We start from the raw sequence: 25,402 nt of genomic DNA, 5'->3' as shown, positions 1-25,402 counted from the left end.
GCAGAGGTTGCAGTGAGCTGAGATTGCACCACTGCACTCCAGCCTGGGTGACAGAGCGAGACTCCGTCTCAACAAAAAAAGAAAGGAAAGGAAGGAAAGAAGGAAGGAAGGAAGGAAGGCCGGCCGGCCAGGTGCAGTGGCTGACACCTGTAATCCCAGAACTTTGGGAGGCATAAGTGGGAGGATGACTTGAGCCCACAAGTTCCAGACCGGCCTGGGCAATGTACTGAGTCTCCACAAAAAATCTGTAAAAAAATTAGCCAGAAGGCCGAGGCGGGCGGATCACCTGAGGTCAGGAGTTTGAGACCATCCTGGCCAATATGGAGAAACCCCGTCTCTACTAAAAATACAAAATTAGCCAGGCATGGTGGTGCATGCCTGTAATCCCAGCTACTCAGAAGCTGAAGCAGGAGAAACACTTGAACCTGGGAGGCAGAGGTTGCAGTAAGCCGAGATCACGCCATTGCACTCTAGCCTGGGCAAGGAGAGCGAAATTCTTTCTCAAAAAAAAAAAAAAAAAAAAAAAGTTAGACAGGCATAGTGGCGCACACCTGTAGTTGAGAGGCTGAGATGGGAGGATTGCTGGAGCCCAGGAGGTAGAGACTGCAGTGAGCTGAGATTGCACCACTGCCCTCCAGCCTGGGTGACAGACTGAGACCCTGCCTCAGAAAAAAAGAAAAGAAAAGGCCTGGCATGGTGGCTCACACCTATAATCCCAGCACTTTGGCAGGTGGATCCTCTGAGGGCAGGAGTTCGAGACCATCATGGCCAACATGGTGAAACCCCATCTCTACTAAAAATACAAAAATTAGCCAGGTGTGGTGGTGGGAGCCTGTAATGGCAGCTACTCGGAGGCTGAGGCAGGAGAATCACTTGAACCCAGGAGGCAGAGGTTGCAGTGAGTTGAGATCACACCACTGCACTCCAGCCAGGGTGACAGAGTGAGACTCTTGTCTCAAAAAAAAAAAAAAAAAAAAAGTCCAACTGTGCTTTCGCATACGGGTTGCCCCCTTACACACAGGCTGCGTGGTTTTCAGTCCCCTTTGGGCCTGAGCCTACCCTCCTGCCACTGCAGCGCAGGCAACAGGCATGTGACTAAAGCAGCCATCTGCGAAGCAGATCCCCAGCCCCGGCTGTTCCCTCCCCATCCATTAGAGTTACTGTTGGCTGTTCGGGTCACCCCATCTGAGGCTGAGGCTCAGACATCACAGAGCAGAGTATAGCTTTTCCCACTTTGCCCTTCCCAAACTCCACCCACAGAATCAACGAGCATTTGAAAAAAAATTTTAAAAGGTGGTTGTTTCATGCCACTAAATTTTAGGATCGTTTACCACACAGTCGTAAATAAATGAAAGCTAAGGGAAAAAGCAGTATGTAATTGTGTATTAATGTACTTGAGGTGAACAAGACAATGCCTATGACTATTAGGATGCTAAATTAATCATAGGATGCTAAATTAATGAACAATTATCTCATTGCATGTGCTAAATATTTATCTGTGTTCCAATACTGAACTAATATGTATCATTTTATTTATCATTTCAAGAATATCCAACCTCCTCCCGCCTCCCCAAAAAACCAGCCACTCCTTCATCCCTTTTGGGTCCTGATGAAGAGGCAATCGGAATAGCATTTATAGGAGCCAAAGCGGCTGCACAGGAAGTTCTGTAATAAAAGAAGATGTAAGAAGAGCCGCGTAACCCAGGGATAAACACAAAAGCTGAGCATAAACCTATGAGAACAGTGTCGGGATGGCTGTAACTCGGAATGAGCTGAGATTACAAAACATGCTATAGACAACAAAAAGGGCTTTGATAGCTATATCTGGATCAAGAAAAAGGAAGAAATAGGCCCATTGCTTAGGGTAGATGTTGTAATACGAACAGATGACCAAGAGGAAGCAGAAGCTCTCCACTTTCATTTAGTTTCTCTTTTTTCTTTTTTCTTTCTTTTTTCTTTTTTTTTTTTGAGACAGGCTCTCTCACTCTGTTCCCCAGGCTGGAGCGCAGTGGTGCAATCATAGCTCACTGCAGCCTCCACCTTCCAGGCTCCAGGGATCCTCCCACTTCAGCCTCCCAAGTAGCTGGGACTACAGGCATGCACTGCCATGCTCAGCTTATTTATTTATTTATAGAGCTGGAGTCTTCCTATGTTGCCCAGGCTAGTTTTGAACTCTTGGCTCGGCCTGGCACAGTGGCTCACGCCTGTAATCCCAGCACTTTGGGAAGCCGAAGTGAGCAGATCACTTGAGGTCAGGAGTTCAACCAGCCTAGCCAACAGGGTGAAACCCCGTCTCTACATACAAAAATTAGCCGGGCGTGGTGGCACGCACCTATAATCCCAGCTACTCGGGAGGCTGAAGCACGAGAATTGCTTGAATTTAGCAGACAGAGGCCTCAGTGAGTTGAGTTCCCACCATTACACTCCAGCCTGGGCGACAGAATGAGACTCCGTCTTAGGAAAAAAAAAAAAAAAAGAAAGAAAGAAAAGAAAAGAAAAAAACTTGGCTGGGTGTGGTGGCTCACACCTGTAATCCCAGCACTTTGGGAGGCCGAGGCGAGCGGATCATGAGGTCAGGAGATCAAGACCATCCTGGCTAACATGGTGAAACCTCGTCTCTACTAAAAATACAAAAAAATTAGCTGGGCGTGGTGGCATGCGCTTGTAGTCCCAGCTACTCGGGAGGCTGAGGCAGGAGAATTGCTTGAACCCAGGAGGCGGAGGTTGCAGTGAGCCGAGATCACACCACTGCACTCCAGCCTGGGCGACAGAGTGAGACTCCGTCTCAAAAAAAAAAAAAAAAAAAAAAAAAAAAAAAAAAAAAAAGAAAGAAAAAGAAAAGAAAAAACTCCTGGGCTCAAGGATTCACCCGTCTCAGCCTCCTAAAGTCCTGGGATTACAGGAATGAGCCACTGTGTCAAGCCTGGTTTGTGTTTTCTCTCTCTCTCTCTTTTTTTTTTTTTTTTTTTTTGAGATGGATTTTTGCTCTGTCGCCAGGCTGGAGTGCAGTGGCATGATCTCGGCTCACTGCAACCTCTCTGCCTCCTGGTTTCAAGCAATTCTCCTGTTTCAGCCTCCCGAGTAGTTGGGACTACAGGCGTGTGCCACTACGCCCAGCTAATTTTTGTATTTTTAGTAGAGGCAGGGTTTCACCATGTTGTCCAGGATGGTCTCAATCTCTTGACTTCGTGATCCGCCTGCCTCAGCCTCCCAAAGTACTAGGATTACAGGCGTGAGCCACAGTGCCCAGCCTGTGTTTTCTGTAAAGAGAATGACACTCAAGATTAAAATGCTTTTAGGTCCACACTTCAGTGGAAATTGAAGCCCCAAAGAAGTGGAGAATGATAATAGGACACTAACTCAACTGAAATGTTCAAGACCCCAGATTTGGATGCAGTCCACCCCTCAAAATGCTGAAAGTTTCTAAGATAAAGTTTTGGAACCACTGAAGACCACCTTTGAGAAATTTTTAAAAATGGGGAAAGTACCGGGGATAGGCAAATCTTGTTGTGGCTTTCAAGAAATTTTAAAAAGTGGCTGGGCAAGGTGGCTTGAGCGCCTGTAATCCCAGCACTTTGGGAGGCCGAGGCAGGTGGATCACTTGAGGTCAGGAGTTTGAAACCAGCCTGGCCAACATGGTGAAACCCCATCTCTACCAAAAAATACAAAAGTTAGCCAGGCGTGGTGGTGTGCACCTGTAATCCCAGCTACTTGTGAGGCTGAGGCAGAAGAACCACTTGAACCCAGGAGGTGGAGACTGCAGTGAGAAGAGATCGTGCCACTGCACTCCAGCCTGGGCGACAGAGCAAGACCCTGTCTCAAAAAAGAAAGGTAACATAAATAAAGTAAAAAAAAATTGCCCTAGTCCCAGCCCACAGCCTCCAGCTCTGTTGCAACCTTAAAAAATAACAGCCCACATTCTCAGAGCAACCTGGCAGCCCCCTGAGGGAGTAAAACGGAGCTGGAGTTCTTTCAAAGTTGTGTTTCCAAAGAACTGTCATTACTGGAGCTGTCTTGAGGTTCCCTAGAAGACTCCACTTGCAAGTCCATCTGTATGTGACCTCACTGGAGCTGGCCCAGTGCAAAAGGCCCTCTCCCCAGGAGGCATTCATCAGAAACATTTACAGGCAAGATTTTTTTTCAGGGAGACTTCATTGGATAACAGGTAGGATTTTTAACTTTGAGACTGTCTGAAGTAGTAGACAGGTGTTGGAGCAAGCAATAGACTAACCCAAAAGCCTGAAAGGAAAAGCTGAGGGATGTGGTTTAGAACTGTGTGCCCACCCAAATCTCATGTCGTATTGCAATCCCCAGTGTTGGAGGTAGGGCCTGGTGGGAGGTGATTGGATCATGGGGGTGGGGTTTCTCATGAATGGTTTAGCGCCATCCCTTTGGTGCTGTTCTCTTGACAGTGAGTGAGTACTCAAGAGATCTGGTTGTTTAAAAGTGTGTGAAGGCGGGTCGCAGTGGCTCACACCTGTAATCCCAGCACTTTGGGAGGCCGAGGTGGGTAGATCACTTGAGGCCAGGAGTTCGAGACCAGCCTGGGCAACATGGTGAAACGCCCGTCTCTACTAAAAATACAAAAATTAGGCCAGATGTGGTGGCTCACGCCTGTAATCCCAGCTATTTAGGAGGCCGAGGCAGGTGGATCACCTGAGGTCAGGAGTTCGAGACCAGCTTGACCAACATGGAGAAACCCCATCTCTACTAAAAATACAAAATTAGCCAGGCGAGGTGGCGCATGCCTGTAATCCCAGCTACTAGGGAGGCTGAGGCAGGAGAATTGCTTGAACCCAGGAGGCGGAGGTTGCAGTGAGCCGAGATGGCACCATTGCACTCCAGCCTAGGCAACGAGAGCGAAACTCCATCTAAAAAAAAAAAAAAAAAAATTGGCCAGGCACGGTGGCTCGCGCCTGTAATCCTAGCCCTTTGGGAGGCCGAGGCGGGCAGATCACCTGAGATCAAGAGTTCGATACCAGCCTGACCAACATGGAGAAACCCCGTCTCTACTAAAAATACAAAATTAGCCGGATGTGGTGGCGCATGCCTGTAATCCCAGCTACTTGGCAGCTGAGGTGGGAGAATCGCTTGAACCTGGGAGATGGAGGTTGCGGTGAGCCAAGATGGTGCCATTGCACTCTAGCCTGAGCAACGGGAGCAAAACTCTGTCTAAAAAAAAAAAAAAAAAAAAAAAAAGCCAGTGGTGGCGCATGCCTGTAGTCCCAACTACTCAGGAGGCTGAGGCAAAAGAATCACTTGAATCCAAGAGATGGAGGCTGCAGTGAGCTGAGGTAGTGCCACTGCACTCCAGCCTGGGTGACAAAGTGAGATTCCATCTCAAAATAAATGAATAAAAATAAAATAAGTAAAGTGTGTGGCGCCTCTTCCCTTGCTCTCTTGCTCCTGCTCCTGCCATGTGACATGCCTGTTCTCCCTTCACCTTCTGCCATGATTGTAAGTTTCCTGAGGCCTCCCCAGAAGCCAAGCAGATGCCAGCATCATGTTCCCTGTACAACCTGCAGAACCATGAGCCAATTAAACCTCTTGCCTTTATAAATTATCCAGGCTTAGGTATTTATAGCAATACAAGAATGGATTAATACACTGGGGGACATCAAAGCTCTAAGATGACAGTGCCGGAGCTCTGAGGATCTTTTCCCCAGCAAAACAAGCAAAGCTGGTGAAAACCATTTAAAAATAAATAAACACTTAAAGTTTCTGGAATTATCCTAATGTCATATAACAGATGAATAAACATTTAATTTTATTTTTTATTGAGATGGAGTCTTGCTCTGTTGCCCAGGCTGGAGTGCAGTGGTGCAATCTTGGCTCACTTTCTTATTCAAGAAAATCTACTAAAACTCAGTAAGAACAGGGAGAATCTGTGGCATTGAATTTTATTACTTTTATTATTATTATTTTGTAGAGATGGGGTTTCACTATGTTGCACAAGCTGGTCTCAAATTCCTGGGCTCAAGCTATCCTGCCACCTCGGCCTCCCAAAGTGCTGGGATTATAAGCATTGTTATCGGTGAAAGGTTATCCAAGTTACCGGTGACAAATCTGTACGGGTCTGCAGCAACCTCAATTCTTGCCTCCACAGAAGAAAGAACCACAGGGCATAAGGCAGAAAAAGAGACCAAGGGAAGTTTCAGAGCAGGAGTGGAAGTTTATTTTAAATGGCTTTAGAATGGGAAAGAAAGGTAAGTACATTTGGAAGAGACTCAAGTGGGCACCAAGGTCAAGCGTGGTGTTCAACCTTGATCCTAGGACTTTATAGGCTGGCTCCTTTCCCATGATTCTTCCCTTAGGATGGGCTGCCTGCATGCACAGTGGCCTCCTTACCCTGGGAAGGTGAGCATGCACAGTGTGTGTAGGAAGTTGTATGCATGCCTATCTGAGGTTTTCTTCCCTTTTCCGGTGGTCTGACCCCGGAAGGTCATGCTCCATCATTTTGTCTCTTTCTTTTTTGTTTGTTTGTTTTTTTTTTGAGACAGTTTCACTCTTGTTTCCCAGGCTGGAGTGTAGTGGCCTGATCTCAGCTCACTGCAACCTCCACCTCCTGGGTTCAAGCAATTCTCCTCCTTCAGTCTCCTGAGTAGGTGGGATATCAGGCACCCAACACCACGCTTGGCTAATTTTGTATTTTTAGTAGAGATGGGGGTTTCACCACATTGGCCAGACTGGTCTTGAACTCCTGACCTCAGGTGATCCGCTCGCCTCAGTCTCCCAAATTGCTGGGATTACAGGTGTGAGCCACCGTGCCCAGACTATTTTGTCTCTTAATGCACATGTCCAGGAAATTGCTTCTCCCTGGTGTCTGCATTCAATTAACACTCTAACATAACAGCTGTGGACCATCAGGAGCTTGTCTCTCTCTCTGGCGCTGGCTGCCAAATTATTTAGAGAGGCAATGTGATCATTGTTGAACCATCACTTGACATTCCTGGTGGGTGGGGAAGAGCCCTCTCCAGCCCTGCTCATGCCTGTTTAACTACCTGTAACATTATGAGCCACTGTGCCAGGCCATCTGTGGCATTTAAGCCAGGAGGACCAACTATCTCCTGACTGCCCTCCCCCCACAGTTCAGCTGGAAGGAAACTGCTCTCTGAGTAGATGTGGCCAAGAAGACAAGCTCCCTCTCCCCTCAGCTGCCAATCAAGGCTTACCATATCTCACCAGGAGGAGCATGCTGCCACCAGTTTTCATCCCCTCCAACTCCAAATTGAAGAGGCTACATTTCTGGTGAACGTGGTAAAGAAGTAGGGCACTCTTCTCCTCCACCCAGCACTCGCCCACACCATAGAATGAAGGCTGTACCATCAGTGACAGTCCAAGAATACTGGGACCATAATCACACTCCTCCCAGCTTGCTTGTGGAACAGAGATCCCATGCCAGGAGGGGCAAGCCACGAAAACCAGAGGCTACTGCTCCACCAGTGTCCAAAATAGGGTCTCAGAGGCTTTGCCCAGTGGGACAGACAGTTCATAAAAAAAGAGACCCCAAGGGCCAGGCATGGTGGCTCACACCTGTAATCCCAACCCTTGGGAGGCCGAGGCAGGTGGATCACCTGAGGTCAGGAGTTCGAGACCAGCCTGGCCAACATAGTGAAACTCCACTCTACCAAAAATACAAAAATTAGGCTGGGCACAGCGGTTCACACCTGTAATCCCAGCACTTTGGGAGGCCAAGGTGGATGGATCACCTGAGGTCAGGAGTTCGTGACCAGCCTGGCCAACATGGTGAAACCCTGCCTCTACTAAAAATAAAAAATTAGCCAGGTGTGGTGGCATGTGCCTGTAATCCTAGCTACTGAGGCAGGAGAATCGCTTGAACCAGGGAAGCAGAGTTTGCAGTGAGCCACGATCACGCCACTGCACTCTAGCCTGGGGGACAGAGTGAGACTCCATCTCAAAAAATTTAAAAAAAAAAATACAAATATTAGCTGGGCATGGTGGCGCACACCTGTAGTCCTGGCTACTCAGGAGGCTGAGGCAGGAGAATTGCTTGAACCCGGGAGGCAGAGGTTGCAGTGAGTTGAGATTGTGCCATTGCACTCAGCCTGGGCAACAAAAGTGAAACTCCATCTCAAAATAAATAAATTAGATAAATAAATAAATAAACAAACAAGACAAAAAGAGACTCTTGGCAGCAGCAAGAGAAAAACAACTCATCGCGTACAAGGAAACTCCAATGAGATTGACAGTTGATTTCTCATCAGAAACAACGGAAGCCAGCAGGTGGTGGGATGACACATTCAAAGTTGATTCTTGTCTCTGTGGTGGTTATATTCCCCAAAGTCACCACAAACAATGAATTAGAGAATACTGAACATTGCTTCTAGCGGAAATACATGGTGAAGTTCCTGCCAGCCTCTGATCACCACACTTTTGTCAACCAATCAGTCCACAGCTGTGTGTTACATGTGATTCTGTTTTGGGTTTTGTTTGTTTTTTGTAGGTCTTGCTCTATCGCTCAGGCTGAAGTGCAGTGGCACAATCACAGCTCACTGCAGCCTTGAACTCCTAGGCTCATGCCAGGCGCGGTGGCTCACGCCTGTAATACCAGCACTTTGGGAGGCCAAAGCAGGCGGATCATGAGGTCAGGAGACCGAGACCATCCTGGCTAACACGGTGAAACCCCGTCTCTACTACAAATACAAAACATTAGCCGGGCGTGGTGGCAGGCGTCTGTAATCCCAGCTACTCGGGAGACTGAGGCAGGAGAATAGCGTGAACCTGGGAGGTGGAGCTTGCAGTGAGCTGAGAGATCTTACCACTGCACTCCAGCCTGGGCGACAGAGCGAGATTCTGTCTCAAAAAAACAAAACAAAACAAAAATCCTAGGCTCAAGGAATTCTCCTGCCTCAGTCCTGTAGCTGGGACTACAGACGCGCATCACCACTGCGCCTGGCCCCCACATCTATCTTTTCAGACTGGTTTGGGACTACAGGCACACACCACCAGGGGTGGTGTATGTGTGCCTGTAGTCCTAGCTACTCAGGAGGCTGAGGTGGGAGGATCACTTAAACCCAAGAGTTCGAGGCTGCAGTGAGCTATGATCAGGCCACTGCACTCCAGCCTAGGTGACAGAACAAGATCCTGTCTCTAAAAAAGATAAAATAAAAAATAAGGCCAGGCGCGGTGGCTCGCGGTGGCTGGCTGTAATCCCAGCACTTTGGGAGGCTGAGGTGGGCGGATCACAAGGTCAGGAGTTCGAGATCGGCCTGGACAACATGGTGAAACCCCGTCTAGGAAACTAGTCTTCCCAGCTAATTTTGTATTTTTAGTAGAGACAGGGTTTCACCACATTGGTAAGACTGGTCTTGAACTCCTGACTTCAAGTAATCCACCCCTCTTTGGCCTCCCAAAGTGCTGGGATTATGGGTGTGAGCCACCATGCCCACCCCATAATTACTTTTGCACCAACAAAATATAAGAGGGCTTCAAAGGGAAGACACCAGCATAATGGCCTTCAAGATATTGTACGATCTAGCCGGGCGCAGTGGCTCACGCCTGTAATCCCAGCACTTTGGGAGGCTGAAGCGGGAGGATCAGCTGAGGTCGGGAGTTCAAGAACAGCCTGACCAACGTGAAGAAACCCCGTCTCTACTAAAACAAAATACAAAAAATTAGCCGGGCGTGGTGGTGCATACCTGTAATCCCAGCTACTCGGGAGGCTGAAGCAGGAGAATTACTTGAACCCGGGAGCCAGAGGTTGCCATAAGCTAAGATCGTGCCATTGCACTCCAGCCTGTGCAACAAGAACAAAACTCCATCTCAAACAAAAAAAAAAAAGAAAAGAAAAAAAGAAAAGAAATTGTACAATCTAAACTGAACATGGTGGCTTGCATCTATAATCCCAGCTACTTGGGAGGGTGAAACAAGAGGATTGCTTGAGGCCAGGAGTTCGAGACCAGCCTGAGCAACATGGAGAGACCCCTATCTCCTAAATAATTTTTTAAAATTAGCCAGGGGTGGTGGACTTCATTTGGTAGTTAATGAGAGGAATTAGGCCAGGAGCAGTGGCTCACACCTGTAATCCCAGCACTTTGGGAGGCTGGTGGGGAGGACTGGTCTCAAGCCCAGGAGCTTGAGACCAGCCTGGGCAACATGCCAAAACCCCATCTCTACAAAAAAAAAAAATATATATATATATATATATACATACAAAAATTAGCTGGACATGGTGTTGTGTGCCTGTAGTTCTAGCTACTTGGGAGGCTGAAGCTAGAGAACTGCCTGAGCCTGGGTGGTCGAGTCTACAGTGAGCCATGATGGTGCCACTGCACTCCAGCCTGGGGGACAGAGCGAGACCTTGCCTCAAAAAAAAAAAGGTGGGGGGAGGAATTAAAAATATATATATTATAATAGACACTGCTGTAACTGTCTGCTCAGCACTTTCTGGGGATGGTGCCCGAATTTTCCTTGGGAAAACCATCCCTTCCCTAGCCTACTTTATGTCATGCCAGTAGAGATAACTAAACCCCCAATTCCACACTGATTCAGGTTGAAGGATTTGCACAGGCTTCAAACAAAACTAGTAACTGGCCAGGCACGGTGGCTCATGCCTGTTATCAAAGCACTTTCAGAGGCTGAGGTGAGTGGATCGCTTGAGGCCAGGAATTTGAGACCAGCATGGCCCACATGGCCAAACCCCGTCTCTACTAAAAATACAAAAATTAGCCGGGCGTGGTGGCGGGCGCCTGTAATCCCAGCTACTCGGGAGGCTGAAACAGGAAAATCTCTCGAACCCAGAAGGTGGAGGTTGCAGTGAACCAAGATCGCACCATTGCACTCCAGCCTGGGTGACAGAGGGAGACTCTGTCTCAAAAAAACTAGTAACCAATAAGAGTCAAATCTAGGCCTTGCATTACAAGAGACAGAGACAGGGAGAAAGAGAGACAGAGAGAGAAGAGCTTTCCCTTGCTGGAGTTACTGAAAAAACCAGACACGAATCTGCAAGTACTAGCTTCCATCTGGCTACTCTGAGAGGAGGGGGTGGCTAAGAATGGAACCAACTCAGAAGAAAGTTGAGCTAAGGGAGGGATCAAAGTCCTAATGATACTGTTTGAGTCAGTGGAGCCAACTGTGTCTTCACAGTCAGTAAGCCAATGCACCTCCTTTCTTGCTTGAGTCCTTTTGAGTTGGGTCTTTGAAGACTTGTTACTGAAAGATTCCTGCCTACTACAACCTCATCAGGGCCATGTTTTAGGCATATCTGAGGAGGAAGGAGACAGACAGAAAGGAACCTAGTTAAGACCAGCCTGGGGCCGGGCGCAGTGGCTCATGCCTGTAATCCCAGCACTTTGGGAGGCCGAGGCGGGCAGATCACGAGGTCAGGAGTTCAAGACCAGCCTGGCCAACATGGTGAAACCCCATCTCTACTAAAAATACAAAAATTAGCCAGGCGTGGTGGCGGGCACCTGTAATCCCAGCTACTCGAGAGGCTGAGGCAGGAGAATTGCTTGAACCCAGGAGGTGGAGGTTGCAGTGAGTTGAGATCGAGCCACTGCTCTCCAGCCTGGGTGACAGGGCAAGACTCTGACTCAGGGGGAAAAAAAAGAACCAGCCTGGGCAGTATAGCCAGACTGTCGTGTCTACAAAAAATTTAAAAAATTAGGCCAGGCGCAGTGGCTGTCACCTGTAATCCTAGCACTTTGGGAGGCCAAGGCAGGTGGATCACTTGAGGTCAGGAGTTTGAGACCAGCCTGGCCAACATGGTGAAACCCATCCTAATAAAAATACAAAAAGAATTAGCCAGATGTGGTATTGTGTACCTGTAGTGCCAGCTACTTGGGAGGCTGAGGAAGGGAGATCATTTGAGCCTGGGAGGTTGAGACTGCAGTGAGCTGTGATCATGCCACTGCACTCTAGCCTGGGCAACAGAGCGAGACCCTGTCTCAAAAAAAAGGAAAGAAATGAAATGAAAAGAAAGGCCAGGCGCAGTGGCTCACACCTGTACCTGTAATCCCAGCATGATGGGAGGCCAAGGTGGGCAGATCTCTTGAGACCAGGAGTTCAAGACTAGCCTGGGTAACATGGTGAACCTCGTCTCGATACAATACAATAGTAAAGGCAAAGTGACATGAGAATCACAAGGAAATATCAGACAAACCCAAACTGAGGGACATTCTACAAAATAACTGACCTATAATCTTCAAAAGTCTACGGTCATGAAAGACCAGAATACTACTACTAATAATAAGAAGAATAAATAACTATTTCAGGCCAGGCATGGTGGCTCATGCCTGTAATCCCAGCACTTTGGGAGGCCAAGGTGGGCGGATCATTTGAGACCAGCCTGGGCAACACGGTGAAACCCCATCTCTACCAAAAATACTAAAATTAGCTGGGCATGGTGACACATGCTTGTGGTCCCAGCTACTCAGAAGGTTGAGGTGAGAGGATCATTTGAGCCTGAGAGGCAGAGGTTGCAGTGAGCCATGACCGCACCACTGCAGTCCAGCCTGGGCGACACAGCATGACACTGCCTCAAAAAAAAAAAAAAAGAAAGAAAGAAAGAAAAAAAGAAGTGCCAGACCTTGAAAATCACAAAAAGCTAATAACTGGTTTAAGATTTAATCTGGAGCCAGCCGAAGTGGCTCATGACTGTAATCCTAGCACTCCGAAAGGCCGAGGTGAGAGGATCACTTGAGCCTAGAAATTTGAGACCAGACTGGGCAACATTAGCTAGAACCCTTCTCTACAAACATTCTAAAAATTAGCCAAGCCAGGCACGGTGGCTCACACCTGTAATCCCAGCACTTTGGGAGGCCAAAGTGGGCAGATCACTTGAGGTCAGGAGTTTGAAACCTGCGTGGCCAACATGGTGAAACCCCATCTTTACTAAATATATAAAAATTAGCCAGGCGTGGTGACGTGTGCCGGTAATCCCAGCTACTTGTAAGGCTGAGGCAGGAGAATCGCTTGACCTGGGAAGTAGAGGTCAAGGTGAGCCGAGATTGTGCCATTGCATTCCAGCCTGGGCACAGAGGGAGACTCCATCTCAAAAAAAAAAAAAAAAATGCTGGGCGCAGTGGCTCACACCTGTAATCTCAGCACTTTGGGAGGCCGACACGGGCGGATCACGAGGTCGGGAGATAGAGACCATCCTGGCTAACACGGTGAAACCCCCTCTCTAATAAAAATACAAAAAATTAGCCAGGCATGGTGGCACACGCATGTAGTTCCACCTACTCAGGAGGCTGAGGCAGGAGACCCGGGAGGCAGAGGTTGCAGTGAACTGAGATTGCACCATTGCACTCCAGCCTGGGCAACAGAGCAAGACTCCGTTTCAAAAACAAAAAAAAAAAATTAGCTAGGCGTGGTTGTGTGTGCTAGGCATGGTGGCAGGATCTGTTGAGCCTAAGAGTTCGAGCCTGCAGTGACCTATGATCTTGCCACTACACTCCACTCCAGCCTGGGCAACAGAGCAAGACCCTGTGCTAGAAAAATAATTCTGCCGGGCACAGTGGCTCACGCCTGTACTCCTAGCACTTTGGGAGGCCGAGGCAGGTGGATCATGAGGTCAGGAGATGGAGACCATCCTGGCTAACACGGTGAAACCCCGTCTCTACTAAAAATACAAAAAATTAGCCAGGCATGGTGGCGGGTGTCTGCAGTCCCAGCTACTCAGGAGGCTGAGGCAGGAGAATGGCGTGAACCTGGGAGGCGGAGCTTGCAGTGAGCTGAGATCGCGCCACTGCACTCCAGCCTGGGTGACAGAGCGTAAGCTTCCACATCGTTTTCCCTCTGTCCCTTTTTTTGGGGGGGTGGGGGTGGGGGCAGGGTCTCTCACTCTGTCACCCAGGCTGGAGTGCAGTGGCACCATCAGAGCTCACTGCAACCTCAACATCCTGGGCTCAACTGATCCTCCTGCCTCAGCCTCCCAAGTAGCTGGGATTACGGACGCATGCCACCACACCCAGCTCATTTTTGTATTTTTGGTAGAGATGGGATCTCACTATGTTGCCCAGGCTGGTCTCCAGCTGCTGGGGTCAAGCAATCAGCCTGCCTCAGCCTCCCAAAGTGCTGGAATCACAGAGGTGAGCCACCACGACCAGCCAGCATCATTTTCCAGTTAAATGTTAATAGTATCTACTTCATATGGCTGCTGTGAGGATTACAGGAGGTAGTGTACATAAAAGTGCCTGGCAAGCCAGGTGCCGTAATCTCAGCACTCTGGGAGGCCAATGTGGGTGGATCACCTGAGGTCAAGAGTTTGAGACCAGCCTGGCCAACATGGTGAAACCTCGTCTCTACTAAAAATACAAAAATTAGCCGGGCGTGGTGGCTGGCGCCTGTAATCCTAGCTACTTGGGAGGCTGAGGTGGGAGAATGACTTGAACCCAGGAGGTAGGGGTTGCAGTGAGCTTGCACTCCTGCCTGGGTGATAGAGCAAGACTCCGTCTCAAAAAAACAAACAAACAAACAAACAAAAAAAAACCAAAAGTGCCTGGCACAGAAGAGATGGTAAGTCTACATTAGTTGAATATGCGTCTATGAACCAGAACAAATCCCAGTCCAGTCCTCCAAGGAAATGCCAACCTCAGTCACTAGAGGGGAATCTCAGTCACACTCTAACTGAGCTTCCAGCAGCAGGAGGTGGCAGCTTGCAGCTCTGATACACCAGCCTTTCCTATGCTGGGAAACTCACTCCCACTCAGCAAACCTGGCTCCATGCTGAACTCCATAGTGTTTTCTCTGAGTCACTATATTCTCCCGCAGTTGCAAAATGATCTGGCAAAAGTCCCTCTAGGGTTTTTACTGCTTACTGAGTAACATCCAAACTCCTTGCCAGAATCCAGAGCCTTCCTAATCTGGCCCCAACCTACCTCTCCAGGCTGAAACCTCATCATTTTTTTACTGCAGCCATGCTGGACAAGTTATGCTTCTGCCTTTATGCCTCAGCTCACCCCGATCCTTCTCCTTCATGCCTTTCTTCAGTCCCTACCTTCTGCAACCCTACTTTTTCTCTTCTTCTTTTTGTTTTTTGTTTTTGAGACGGAGTGTTGCTCTGTCGCCCAGGCTGGAGTGAAGTGGTGCAATCTCAGCTCACTGCAACCTCCTCCTCTCGGGTTCAAGCGATTCTCCTGCCTCAGTCTCCCAAGTAGCTTGGATTACAGGCACGTGCCACCATGCCCAGCTAATTTTTGTATTTTTAGTAGAGACGGGGTTTCACCATGTTGGTCAGGCTGGTCTCAAACTCAGGTGATCTGCCCACCTCGGCCTCCCAAAGTGCTGGGATTACAGGCGTGAGCCACCGTGCCCAGCCCCCCAATTTTTTTTTTTAATTAGCAGGGCGTGGTGGCGCGCACTCGTAGTCCCAGCTCTTTGGGAGGCTGAGGTGGGAGGATCACTTGACCCCAGGGAGGTTGAGGCTGCAGTGAGCAATTATTGCACCACTACACTCCAGCCTGGACGACAGAGAGAGACCCTGTCTCTATAATAAAATAAAAACAGTCTAGGACTCTGAGAGGCATGGAATTAGAAAGAGTCTCTGTGTCAGAAGACACCATTTTGAGTCTCAGCTGTCACTACTAGTGACCTTACCCAAGTTAGTAAACCTAACTCTCAGATTCTCCATCTGTAAAATTTGATCCATTTATTAGAACATTATTTTTAACCTAGGGTGATCCCGGGCCCAGGTTCTGGTGGGCTGCCGCATACATTGGCTGGGTGGCTCTGGTAGGTCACGCCCTGGCCGCTTCGCCATCGAGGGGAGGGTGAGGACAGTCTCCGAGGCGGCGCTGCCGAACCTCCCGGTGACCTGGAGGCCGCGGAGCCCGCAGGGACCCATGGCCCCCGAACCTGGGGCAAGAAGGGCGGGCGCGCGCGGGGCGGGTCACGTGACAGCTCCAGGCCCACGCGGGGCCGGGGCAAGGGCGGGGCCTGGCGCGCGCGGCCCTGCGGGTGACAGGCAGGCGGGAAGGGGCGGGGCCTCGGGCGGGGCCGCCGTGGGGAGGAGGGCGGTGGGAGGGGAGGAGTGGAGATGGCGGCGGCGGCGGCTCAGGGGGGCGGGGGCGGGGAGCCCCGTAGAACCGAGGGGGTCGGCCCGGGGGTCCCGGGGGAGGTGGAGATGGTGAAGGGGCAGCCGTTCGACGTGGGCCCGCGCTACACGCAGTTGCAGTACATCGGCGAGGGCGCGTACGGCATGGTCAGGTGAGGGGGCGTTCCGGGGGAGGGGGTGCCCTCAGGGGAGGGGGCTTCGCGGGAGAGGAGGAGGAGGCGCCGAGCGCTTTCCGGGACGTGGAGACGCGGAGCGTCCCGAGGAGGCAGGAGACTCGGGATGATCGGGAGCGTCCCAGGGAGGGGGCCCCTGAGTGCTTTCTGGGGGAGGGGGCGCTGCCTACGTCCTCAGGGGAGCAGGCTTGGAGGCTTTGAGTCCACCCTTCTGTAATGATGGGAGGGGCATCCGAGTGCATGTGGGGGCCCGCGGGGACCCTAGTGACACGGGGCGAGGCCCAGAGGATGAGTACTCTCGGGGAGGCGACATCCTTAGTGAAGAGGCAGTGGAGGGCCCGTTTTGGGGGAAAGGGTGTCTTGGATTCCCCCTGTGAGGCAGTGCCAGGGAGCCTGGGGGAGAAGAGCCGAGATCAGGGTGGGGCAGGGCTTTGGCCCCACCACCCCAGGGGCCCAGAGAGAGATGAGGCGGCCAGGAGTGCCACCTGCATGTTTTGGGAGGGGTCTGTGAGTGCCCCCGGCCCCACCGTGTGCTCTGGGCCTCTATCCCTCTGGGACAGCCCCGCTGCCCGGATCCCTCACCCTGGGACCCTCCCCTGCCCTGTCCATTCTCTCCTGCCCCTCCCCTGGCTGCCACCTTCCCAGTATTTGCCCCATGGTGTGTCCCCAGCATCTGCACCCCCGGACCTGTCTTGGGTTAAGGAGCCTTTCCTGGGAATGGGGGCGAAGGGTTCAGGGCCAGTAGAATGGAAGGGGATTGAGGAGAGGGGAAGTCAGTGAGCGGTCAGTCTCTTCCTCTGTTTGTAAAGTCACCGAAGGGCCGCCTGGCTGGTCCCCAGCTTTCTCTCTGGAGATCCCAGGCCTCCACAGCAGGAAGGAACCAGCATTGTTTATGATTTGACCAGAGCCAGCTCCTGCTCTCTCCCCTCCCTGCCAAGGCCTGGGTGGGGCCACCAGGCCCGGACTCCCCCTTTGTAAGGCCACAGCAGCAGCCTCTCTCCGGTCCCCTCAGCTCGGCCTATGACCACGTGCGCAAGACTCGCGTGGCCATCAAGAAGATCAGCCCCTTCGAACATCAGACCTACTGCCAGCGCACGCTCCGGGAGATCCAGATCCTGCTGCGCTTCCGCCATGAGAATGTCATCGGCATCCGAGACATTCTGCGGGCGTCCACCCTGGAAGCCATGAGAGATGTGTATCCTTCACCTTGGCCAGTCGGCTGGTCAGGCACGGCCTCGCAGCTGGGCTGGGGACCCGTTGCTTGGTTTCTGTTTCCATCTTACCCACCACCCTCCAAAACAAACCCAGTAAAATAAACTTTCCTGCAGAGGGGAAGCCACAGTGTAACAGGACTTGGAGACCTCTGATGAACCCAGGCCTGCAGCGGCCCAGGCAGTATGGCCTCGAGCAAGTGGGTTCTCTGCTCTGTGCCCCAGGGGGAAGGGCTAGGCAGGATGGTCTCTATGGGAGTGGTGTCTTCTGACGTCGGCAGTTCTGAGACATGACCTGGCCTCTGCCCACAGTCACTTCTTGCTAAGGAATGGATGATTCTTTCCTCTCTTTCCTCCTTGCCCAGACCGGAAGGGAGACAGGGAGAAAGAAAACTGTCAGCTGGGCGTGGTGGCTCACGCCTGTAATCCCAGCACTTTGGGAGGCTGAGGTGGGAGATTACCTGAGGTCAGTAGTTGGAGACCAGCCTGGCCAACATGGTTAAACCCCATCTCTACTAAAAATACAAAAAAATTAGCGGGGCATGGTGGTGCAAGCCTGTAATCCCAGCTACTTGGGAGGCAGAGGTAGGAGAATCGCTTGAACCCAGGAGCTGGAGGTTGCAGTGAGCCAAGATCGTGCCACTGCACTCCAGCCTGGGTGACAGAGCGAGACTCTGTCTCAAAACTAAACAAAAACAAAAAACTGCCTTTCTTGAGGGCCTGCTGTGTGTCAGGTACTATACATGCCCAATGCTTTTTTTTTTCTATTACACCTCCCAACTACCCTATGAGATGGGCTTTTCAGCTTCATTTCAAAGATGAGGGGTGGAGTGCAATGGCTCACATCTGTAGTCCCAACACTTTGGGAGGCTAAGACCAGAGGATCACTGGAGGCCAGGAGTTCAAGACCAGCCTGGGCAGCATAGTGAGACCCCACCTCTACAAAAAATTTAAAAATTATCCAGGTTTGGTGGTACACGACTATAGTCCCAGCTACTTGGGAGGCTGAGGCAGGAGGATGGCTTGAGCTTAGGAGTTCGAGGCTGCAGTGAGCTATGATTGTGCTACTGCACTCTAGCCTGGGGGACAGAGCGTGACCCTGTCAAAAAAAAAAAAAAAAAAAAAGATGAGGAAGCTAAGGCTCAGAAAACCTAAAATCAAGTGTTTCTGTTGCTGTCTCCTCCTCTCCTCCCCCAGATGGGAACTTGTCCTTCTTCTTAGGACTTCTCACTCAGAGCCACACCCTAATCACCTGTGGACTTGCACCTTGCCCAGGGAGGGACAGCCTAGCCTTGGCTGTCCTCCCCCAATACTGCTTTCCTAGTTTGCTGTCCACTTCCTGTCTGGCTCTCCTTAGCAACTTATGACACCTGTCACTTCTTCCCTGCCCCACCCACCCACTCTCAGTCCCAGCCCTCCACCCAAGAGTGGGGATTTGTACTGAGGTGTCTGCAACCCCCACCACAAACTGTGGACAGGAAATCTCCGTGCTCACCCCCAGCTCGCTGTGTGATCTGAAGCAAGTCACTGCGTCTCGCTGGGCCTCCCCAGCCCTAAAACAGCAGGGCTGGTCCACATATTCTCTGAAGACCCTTTCAAGGCTGATTCTTGTTTTCTTTGTTTTTTGTTTGTTTGTTTTTAGATGGAGTCTCCCTCTGTTGCCCAGGCTAGAGTGCAGTGGCTCAATCTCAGCTCACGGCAACCTCCACCTCCCAGGTTCAAGCTATTCTCCTGCCTCAGCCTTCCAAGTAGCTGGGACTACAGGCGCCTGCCACCACGCCCGGCTAATTTTTGTATTTTCAGTAGATGCGGGGTTTCGCCCTGTTCACCAGGCTGGCGTCAAACTCCTGACCTCAGGTCATCAACCCACCTTGGCCTCCTGAAGAGCTGGGATTACAGGCATGAGCCACCATGCCTGGTCTCAAGGCAGATTCTAAAAGACAGCCCTGACTTATTTTTCTAGAGACAAGCCAAACAGCATTTGTGGATTTATTTATTTATTTACGCATAAGCTTTTTTGTATCTTCAAATAGAAAAAGACATTTTACTCCTCCATCTTCTGAGGTATGGCCAAGCACTCTCCTTTGAGTGGGAGTGTGCTGTTGGGAGTGTCTCCTCATTTTTCTTGCACAAACCATTCCCATAAGGCAGGCATTTATTTTTAAGCAAACATTTATTGCATGCCAGATGGTGTTCATACATTATCTCATTTAACTCCCTCAACAGCCATGTGACTCAGGCATTCATATTAGTAATAATAGTTCATGTTTGCCTAGCACTCACAACTTGCCAAGCACTGGGCTGACAGCTTTACATGCGCCATCTCATCTAGTCTTCACAACCACCCTCAAAAGAACCATTATTTCATGGCTTGCACCTGTAATTTCCAGCACTTTGGGAGGCCGAGGTGGAAGGAACACTTGAACCCATGAGTTCAAGACCTGCCTGGGCAACAGAGCAAGAGCCCATCTCCACAAAAAGAAAACAAACAAACAAACAAAAAAACATTATTTCCCCTACATACCAGATGAGAAAGTTGAGGCACAGACAGGTTGAGATCCTAAAGCCAGTGAGTAGTAGAGAGGAGATTTCAGACATCCATGGGTTAACTCCAGAGTTGCTGCTCTTTTTGTAGGTTTTTTTTTTTTTTTAATTTATTTATTTTTGAGACAGAGTCTCACTCTGTCATCCGGGCTGCAGTGCAGTGACACAATCTTGGCTCACTGCAACATCTGCCTCCTGGGTTCAAGTGATTCTCGTGCTGCAGCCTCCTGAGTAGCTGGGATTACAGGCACATGCCGCCGTGCCCAGTTAATTTTGCTATTTTTAGTAGAGACAGGGTTTTGCCATGTTGCCCAGGCTGGTGGTCTCAAACTCCTGGCCTCAAGCAGTCCTCCCGCCTCAGCCTCCCAAAGTGCTGGGATTACAGGTGTGAGCCACCACTCCTGGCCCAAGTTGCTGCTCTTAACTGTGAAGTTCTCCTGCCTCCCACAGTTTATTATTATCCCCGTTTCCCCGGTAGGGAAACTGAGGCCTCAGAAATGAAGCCCCTTGCTCAGGATCAGCAACTGTGATGCAACAGAGGCTCAGAGCCCTGCCGCTGGGTAATGGCAGCAGCTTCCCCAGCTGGTGGTGCAGGTTGGCAGATCTATTGAGTCCCAGGGGCCCTGGCTGGAGGAGGTGTGCAGCCTCGCCTTCAGAGCCTGTTTTCCTTAACCAAGTGCCTCCCACTGCCCCCTGCCTGGGGGGGTCTGCGGAACCATCCTCAGCTACATTGTGCAGGACCTGATGGAGACTGACCTGTACAAGTTGCTGAAAAGCCAGCAGCTGAGCAATGACCATATCTGCTACTTCCTCTACCAGATCCTGCGGGGCCTCAAGTACATCCACTCCGCCAACGTGCTCCACCGAGATCTAAAGCCCTCCAACCTGCTCATCAACACCACCTGCGACCTTAAGGTCAGAGGGTTGGGCACCTGTCCCCTCCTCCCCCAGGGTCTGGGGCTTCCAGTGACCAGTAGAAGAAGCCTTGGGCAGGAGAACATTGCAAGCAAAGGGAACAGTGGAGGCAAAGACAAGGGGGCGTGACTGCTTAGGCTGCAGAGGCCTTGAGCGCCGAGCTTAGCAGCTAGGTCTGATTCCAGATTTGTGATTTCGGCCTGGCCCGGATTGCCGATCCTGAGCATGACCACACCGGCTTCCTGACGGAGTATGTGGCTACGCGCTGGTACCGGGCCCCAGAGATCATGCTGAACTCCAAGGTAGGAGGGGCTGCCCACTCCTGAAAGGAACGGACCAGTTCCCAGGAAGCCCTGGAGCTACCTCTGAGCCAGACACTGACCCCCATGACACAGGAATTCTACCCTCTGGGCCTTGGGCTCTGCAAGGAAGCTGAGCATTGAGCCCTCCAGGCCTCTGCCTTCTGCCTGGTGTTGGATCTAACTTGGAGGTGGTGGCCTGGCGCAGACAACAGGACCCTGTTGAGGCTGGCCCAGGAGCTCACCACTTCCTCCTCTCCCCCAGGGCTATACCAAGTCCATCGACATCTGGTCTGTGGGCTGCATTCTGGCTGAGATGCTCTCTAACCGGCCCATCTTCCCTGGCAAGCACTACCTGGATCAGCTCAACCACATTCTGGGTGAGGGAGGCCCGGCTGGCTGAGTTGGGGATGATTAGCTTTTCCGAGGTGAGATTTCTCGAGAGTCCAAGTCAGGGATACCACCACGTGTGGGGTGCCTCCAGCATCTCATGGTATCTCAATGAGGTATAGATATTATCCCCATTGGATAGATGGGAAAAGCAAGGCTAAGTCCCACACCTGAGGAGGCACCAGACCTAGGATTTGAGCCTCGGTCTGCCTGAACCCAGCCCCCTTGCTCTGCACCACCATGCTAATGACTAGGAGGTGACTGAGGGATTGGCATGGGTTGCTGGGCTGGGGGGTCTTGTTCTTGCCTTGTTGCCTATTCTGTTCCCAGAAAGAAAGAGGTGATCATTTACCAAGTCACCTCCTTATCCACAGGCATCCTGGGCTCCCCATCCCAGGAGGACCTGAATTGTATCATCAACATGAAGGCCCGAAACTACCTACAGTCTCTGCCCTCCAAGACCAAGGTGGCTTGGGCCAAGCTTTTCCCCAAGTCAGACTCCAAAGGTTCGAGAGACATGAGGGTGGGTGTGGGATAAACCTTGGGTGTCGTGGAGGGTGTGTGAGCCCAGCAGCCGCTGGAGGAGACAGGCAAAGCAATGCTTCTCGGAGCTCCTCCAGTCTTCCCTGTGACCCCTGACTCCTGCCCTTCCATAGCCCTTGACCTGCTGGACCGGATGTTAACCTTTAACCCCAATAAACGGATCACAGTGGAGGAAGCGCTGGCTCACCCCTACCTGGAGCAGTACTATGACCCGACGGATGAGGTGGGCCAGTCCCCAGCAGCAGTGGGGCTGGGGGCAGGGGAGCAGGGGGGCACGTAGGCATCCCCCATGCCAGGCCTGAGCCTTGCTGTCTCTACCACCCCAGCCAGTGGCCGAGGAGCCCTTCACCTTCGCCATGGAGCTGGATGACCTACCTAAGGAGCGGCTGAAGGAGCTCATCTTCCAGGAGACAGCACGCTTCCAGCCCGGAGTGCTGGAGGCCCCCTAGCCCAGACAGACATCTCTGCACCCTGGGGCCTGGTGAGTGTCTCCATGGCCCACACATGGACACCCTGATACTAAATATCTATATCTGTATATCTATATCTATATCTATCTGTACATGCCTCCATACAGCAGCAAGCTTACCCCACACCCATGGTCAATGTGTCTGGTGACAACAGAAGTGCCCAGGGGGCTGGGTGTGGTGGCTCATGCCTGGAATCCCAGCACTTTGGGAGACTGAGACTGAGAGGAGTGGATCACCTGAGGGTCAGGAGTTTGAGACCAGCCTGGCCTGCATGGTGAAATCCCATCTATACTAAAAATACAAAAATTAGCCGGGCACAGTGGGTCACTCTGGTAATCCCAGCACTTTGGGAGGCTGAGGCAAGTGGATCACCTGAGGTCAGGAGTCCGAGACCAGCCTGCCTGGCCAACGTGGTGAAACCCTGTCTCTACTAAAAATACAAAAATTAGCCGGGCACGTAGGCATGCGCTTCTAGTCCCAGCTACTCAGGAGGCTGTGGTGGGAGGACTGCTTGAACCTGGGAGGCGGAGGTTGCACCACTGTACTCCAGCCTGGGCAACAGTGAGACTCTCTCAAAAAAAAAAAAAAAAGGGCTGGGCACAGTGGCTCATGCCTGTAATCCCAGCACTTTGGGAGGCCGAGGTGGGTGGATCACAAGGTCAAGAGTTGAGACCAGCCTGGCCAACATGGTGAAACCCGGTCTCTACTGTAAAGAATACAAAAATGAGCTGGGTGTGGTGGCACATGCCTATAATCCCAGCTACTCAGGAGGCTGAGGCAGGAGAATTGCTTGAACCCAGGAGGCAGAGGTTGCAGTGAGCCGAGATCGCACCACTGCACTCCAGCCTGGACTACAGAGCAAGACTCCATCTCAAAAAAAAAAAAAAAAATGCCCAAGGCTGCCCAGACTGGTGGCCCACCGAGTCCTCCAGCCCCAAATGTCTCTGCCTGTCAACACCTTGCATCCTCCAGCCCCACAAGCCATTCTAATCTCCTTCTAGGAACAGAACTGGCAAAGAGGCAAGAGGTCACTGAGGGCCTCTGTCACCCAGGTGAGGACCTGAGCCAAGCTTCAGCTCTGGGTGTGGCAGAAGCAGGTGGGGCCATGATTGCTTTGGGAGGGGCCCAGCAGCGCCCAGCCTGACCCAGATTGCCAGGCCTCCTCACACCTGCTGCCAGATCAGCAGTTCACATAGCTGTGGGGACCCCACTGGCCTGCCCCCACCCACGCTGCCTCCTTGCCTCCTCCGGTCTCTTCCTGTCTTCAGCCAGGTGTGGCCTGATAGAAAGAAGGCATGCGCACCTGGGCTCAAACTCCAGCTGTGCCACTTAGTAAGTGCTGTGTGATATTGGGCAAGGCACCTCACCTCTCGGCGCCTCAGTTTCCGGAGTCAATCTATTTATCTTTTTTTTTGGTTTTGTTTTTTTGAGACAGTGTCTCGCTCTGTCACCCAGGCTGGAATGCAGTGGTGCAATCATAGCTCACTGCAGCCTCAAAACTCCTGGGTGCAAGGGATCCTCCCAGCTAGCTGGACGAGCCATTGCAACCGGCTAATTTTTTTTTTTTTTTTTTGTGGAGCTGGGGTCTTGCTATGTTGCCCAGGCCAGTCTCAAACTCCTGGGCTCAAGCGATCCACCACCTCAGCTTCTCAAAGTGCTGGGATTATAGGCGTGAGCCACTGTGCCCGGCCGAGACAGTTCTAATAATGAAAGCATAAAGCCCTAAGCATTGTTCTAAGAGGTTTACATGTATTAATTCCTTTAATCTTACAGCAGTACCTCAAGCTAGGTACTATTATTATCTCCATTTACAGATAAGGAAACTGAGACCCAGCCTATCCAGCTGTGAGGGTGAAATGAGAGATGTTGAGGTCAGGGCTCCAGTGGGTCTGCCCGGGGGGTGCTAACGACTCCTCTTCTGCCTGCTTCTCTCTTTAGGACCTGCCTCCTGCCTGCCCCTCTCCCGCCAGACTGTTAGAAAATGGACACTGTGCCCAGCCCGGACCTTGGCAGCCCAGGCCGGGGTGGAGCATGGGCCTGGCCACCTCTCTCCTTTGCTGAGGCCTCCAGCTTCAGGCAGGCCAAGGCCTTCTCCTCCCCACCCGCCCTCCCCACGGGGCCTCGGGACCTCAGGTGGCCCCAGTTCAATCTCCCGCTGCTGCTGCTGCGCCCTTACCTTCCCCAGCGTCCCAGTCTCTGGCAGTTCTGGAATGGAAGGGTTCTGGCTGCCCCAACCTGCTGAAGGGCAGAGGTGGAGGGTGGGGGGCGCTGAGTAGGGACTCAGGGCCATGCCTGCCCCCCTCATCTCATTCAAACCCCACCCTAGTTTCCCTGAAGGAACATTCCTTAGTCTCAAGGGCTAGCATCCCTGAGGAGCCAGGCCGGGCCGAATCCCCTCCCTGTCAAAGCTGTCACTTCGCGTGCCCTCGCTGCTTCTGTGTGTGGTGAGCAGAAGTGGAGCTGGGGGGCGTGGAGAGCCCGGCGCCCCTGCCACCTCCCTGACCCGTCTAATATATAAATATAGAGATGTGTCTATGGCTGACCCTGGCTCTGTCTGTGTTCGCGACGCCCCCGCCCTGCCCCGTGCGGCTCTGAGGACAGACTTGACTTGGGCTTTCAGGGGCCTGGTGCCCTTCACTCCCAGCTGCCCAGGGCTGGGGACGGGGCTCTGGAGAGCTCCAGACTCCTAGAAAGAAGGGGGTCAGTTTTCCCCTTAGTCACTGTCCTGTCCTCTCGCTAATGGCTTCCTGTCTAACTGGCTGGGGGTGATTCGGGGTGACTCAGGAGCACCCTACACACCCCTGGATCCTCTGAAATGGCAAGGGGTAGGCATGTTGGATGC

At 51.6% G+C, this 25,402-nt stretch overlaps 1 protein-coding gene across 4 annotated transcripts, besides 2 other annotated features; it reads left to right on the top strand.

Annotated features, from left to right (window-relative positions):
- Positions 3,514-3,843: an enhancer, noted in NCBI's record as "active region_10691". NCBI's record gives its function as "activates an Ori minimal core promoter by ATAC-STARR-seq in GM12878 lymphoblastoid cells {active_cell/tissue: GM12878}" and the evidence as "EXISTENCE:reporter gene assay evidence [ECO:0000049][PMID:35858748]".
- Positions 15,626-15,995: a silencer, noted in NCBI's record as "silent region_7356". NCBI's record gives its function as "represses an Ori minimal core promoter by ATAC-STARR-seq in GM12878 lymphoblastoid cells {active_cell/tissue: GM12878}" and the evidence as "EXISTENCE:reporter gene assay evidence [ECO:0000049][PMID:35858748]".
- Positions 15,987-25,102, top strand: MAPK3 (mitogen-activated protein kinase 3). 4 transcript variants are annotated; one of them, XR_243293.2, is made up of 10 exons: positions 15,987-16,167; positions 17,201-17,383; positions 20,669-20,858; positions 21,044-21,160; positions 21,423-21,537; positions 21,922-22,053; positions 22,204-22,313; positions 22,417-22,571; positions 23,562-23,612; positions 24,499-25,102. XR_243293.2 is itself a non-coding variant. In NM_002746.3 (9 exons), exons 1-8 carry the CDS (start codon positions 15,998-16,000, stop codon positions 22,537-22,539), a joined length of 1,140 nt encoding a protein of 379 aa, NP_002737.2. In that variant the 5' UTR covers positions 15,987-15,997; the 3' UTR covers positions 22,540-22,571; positions 24,499-25,102. The 4 variants fall into 4 exon arrangements, 3 of the variants coding, with proteins under 3 accessions (NP_002737.2, NP_001103361.1, NP_001035145.1); NM_002746.3 differs by lacking the exon at positions 23,562-23,612; NM_001109891.2 differs by lacking the exons at positions 21,922-22,053; positions 23,562-23,612.

This window comes from Homo sapiens, chromosome 16, assembly GCF_000001405.40.
Source record: "Homo sapiens chromosome 16, GRCh38.p14 Primary Assembly".
In the NCBI taxonomy this organism is placed as follows: Eukaryota; Metazoa; Chordata; class Mammalia; order Primates; family Hominidae; genus Homo; species Homo sapiens.
The sequence above is the reverse complement of the archived record's forward strand: the minus strand, read 5'-3'. Positions and strand labels throughout refer to the sequence as shown.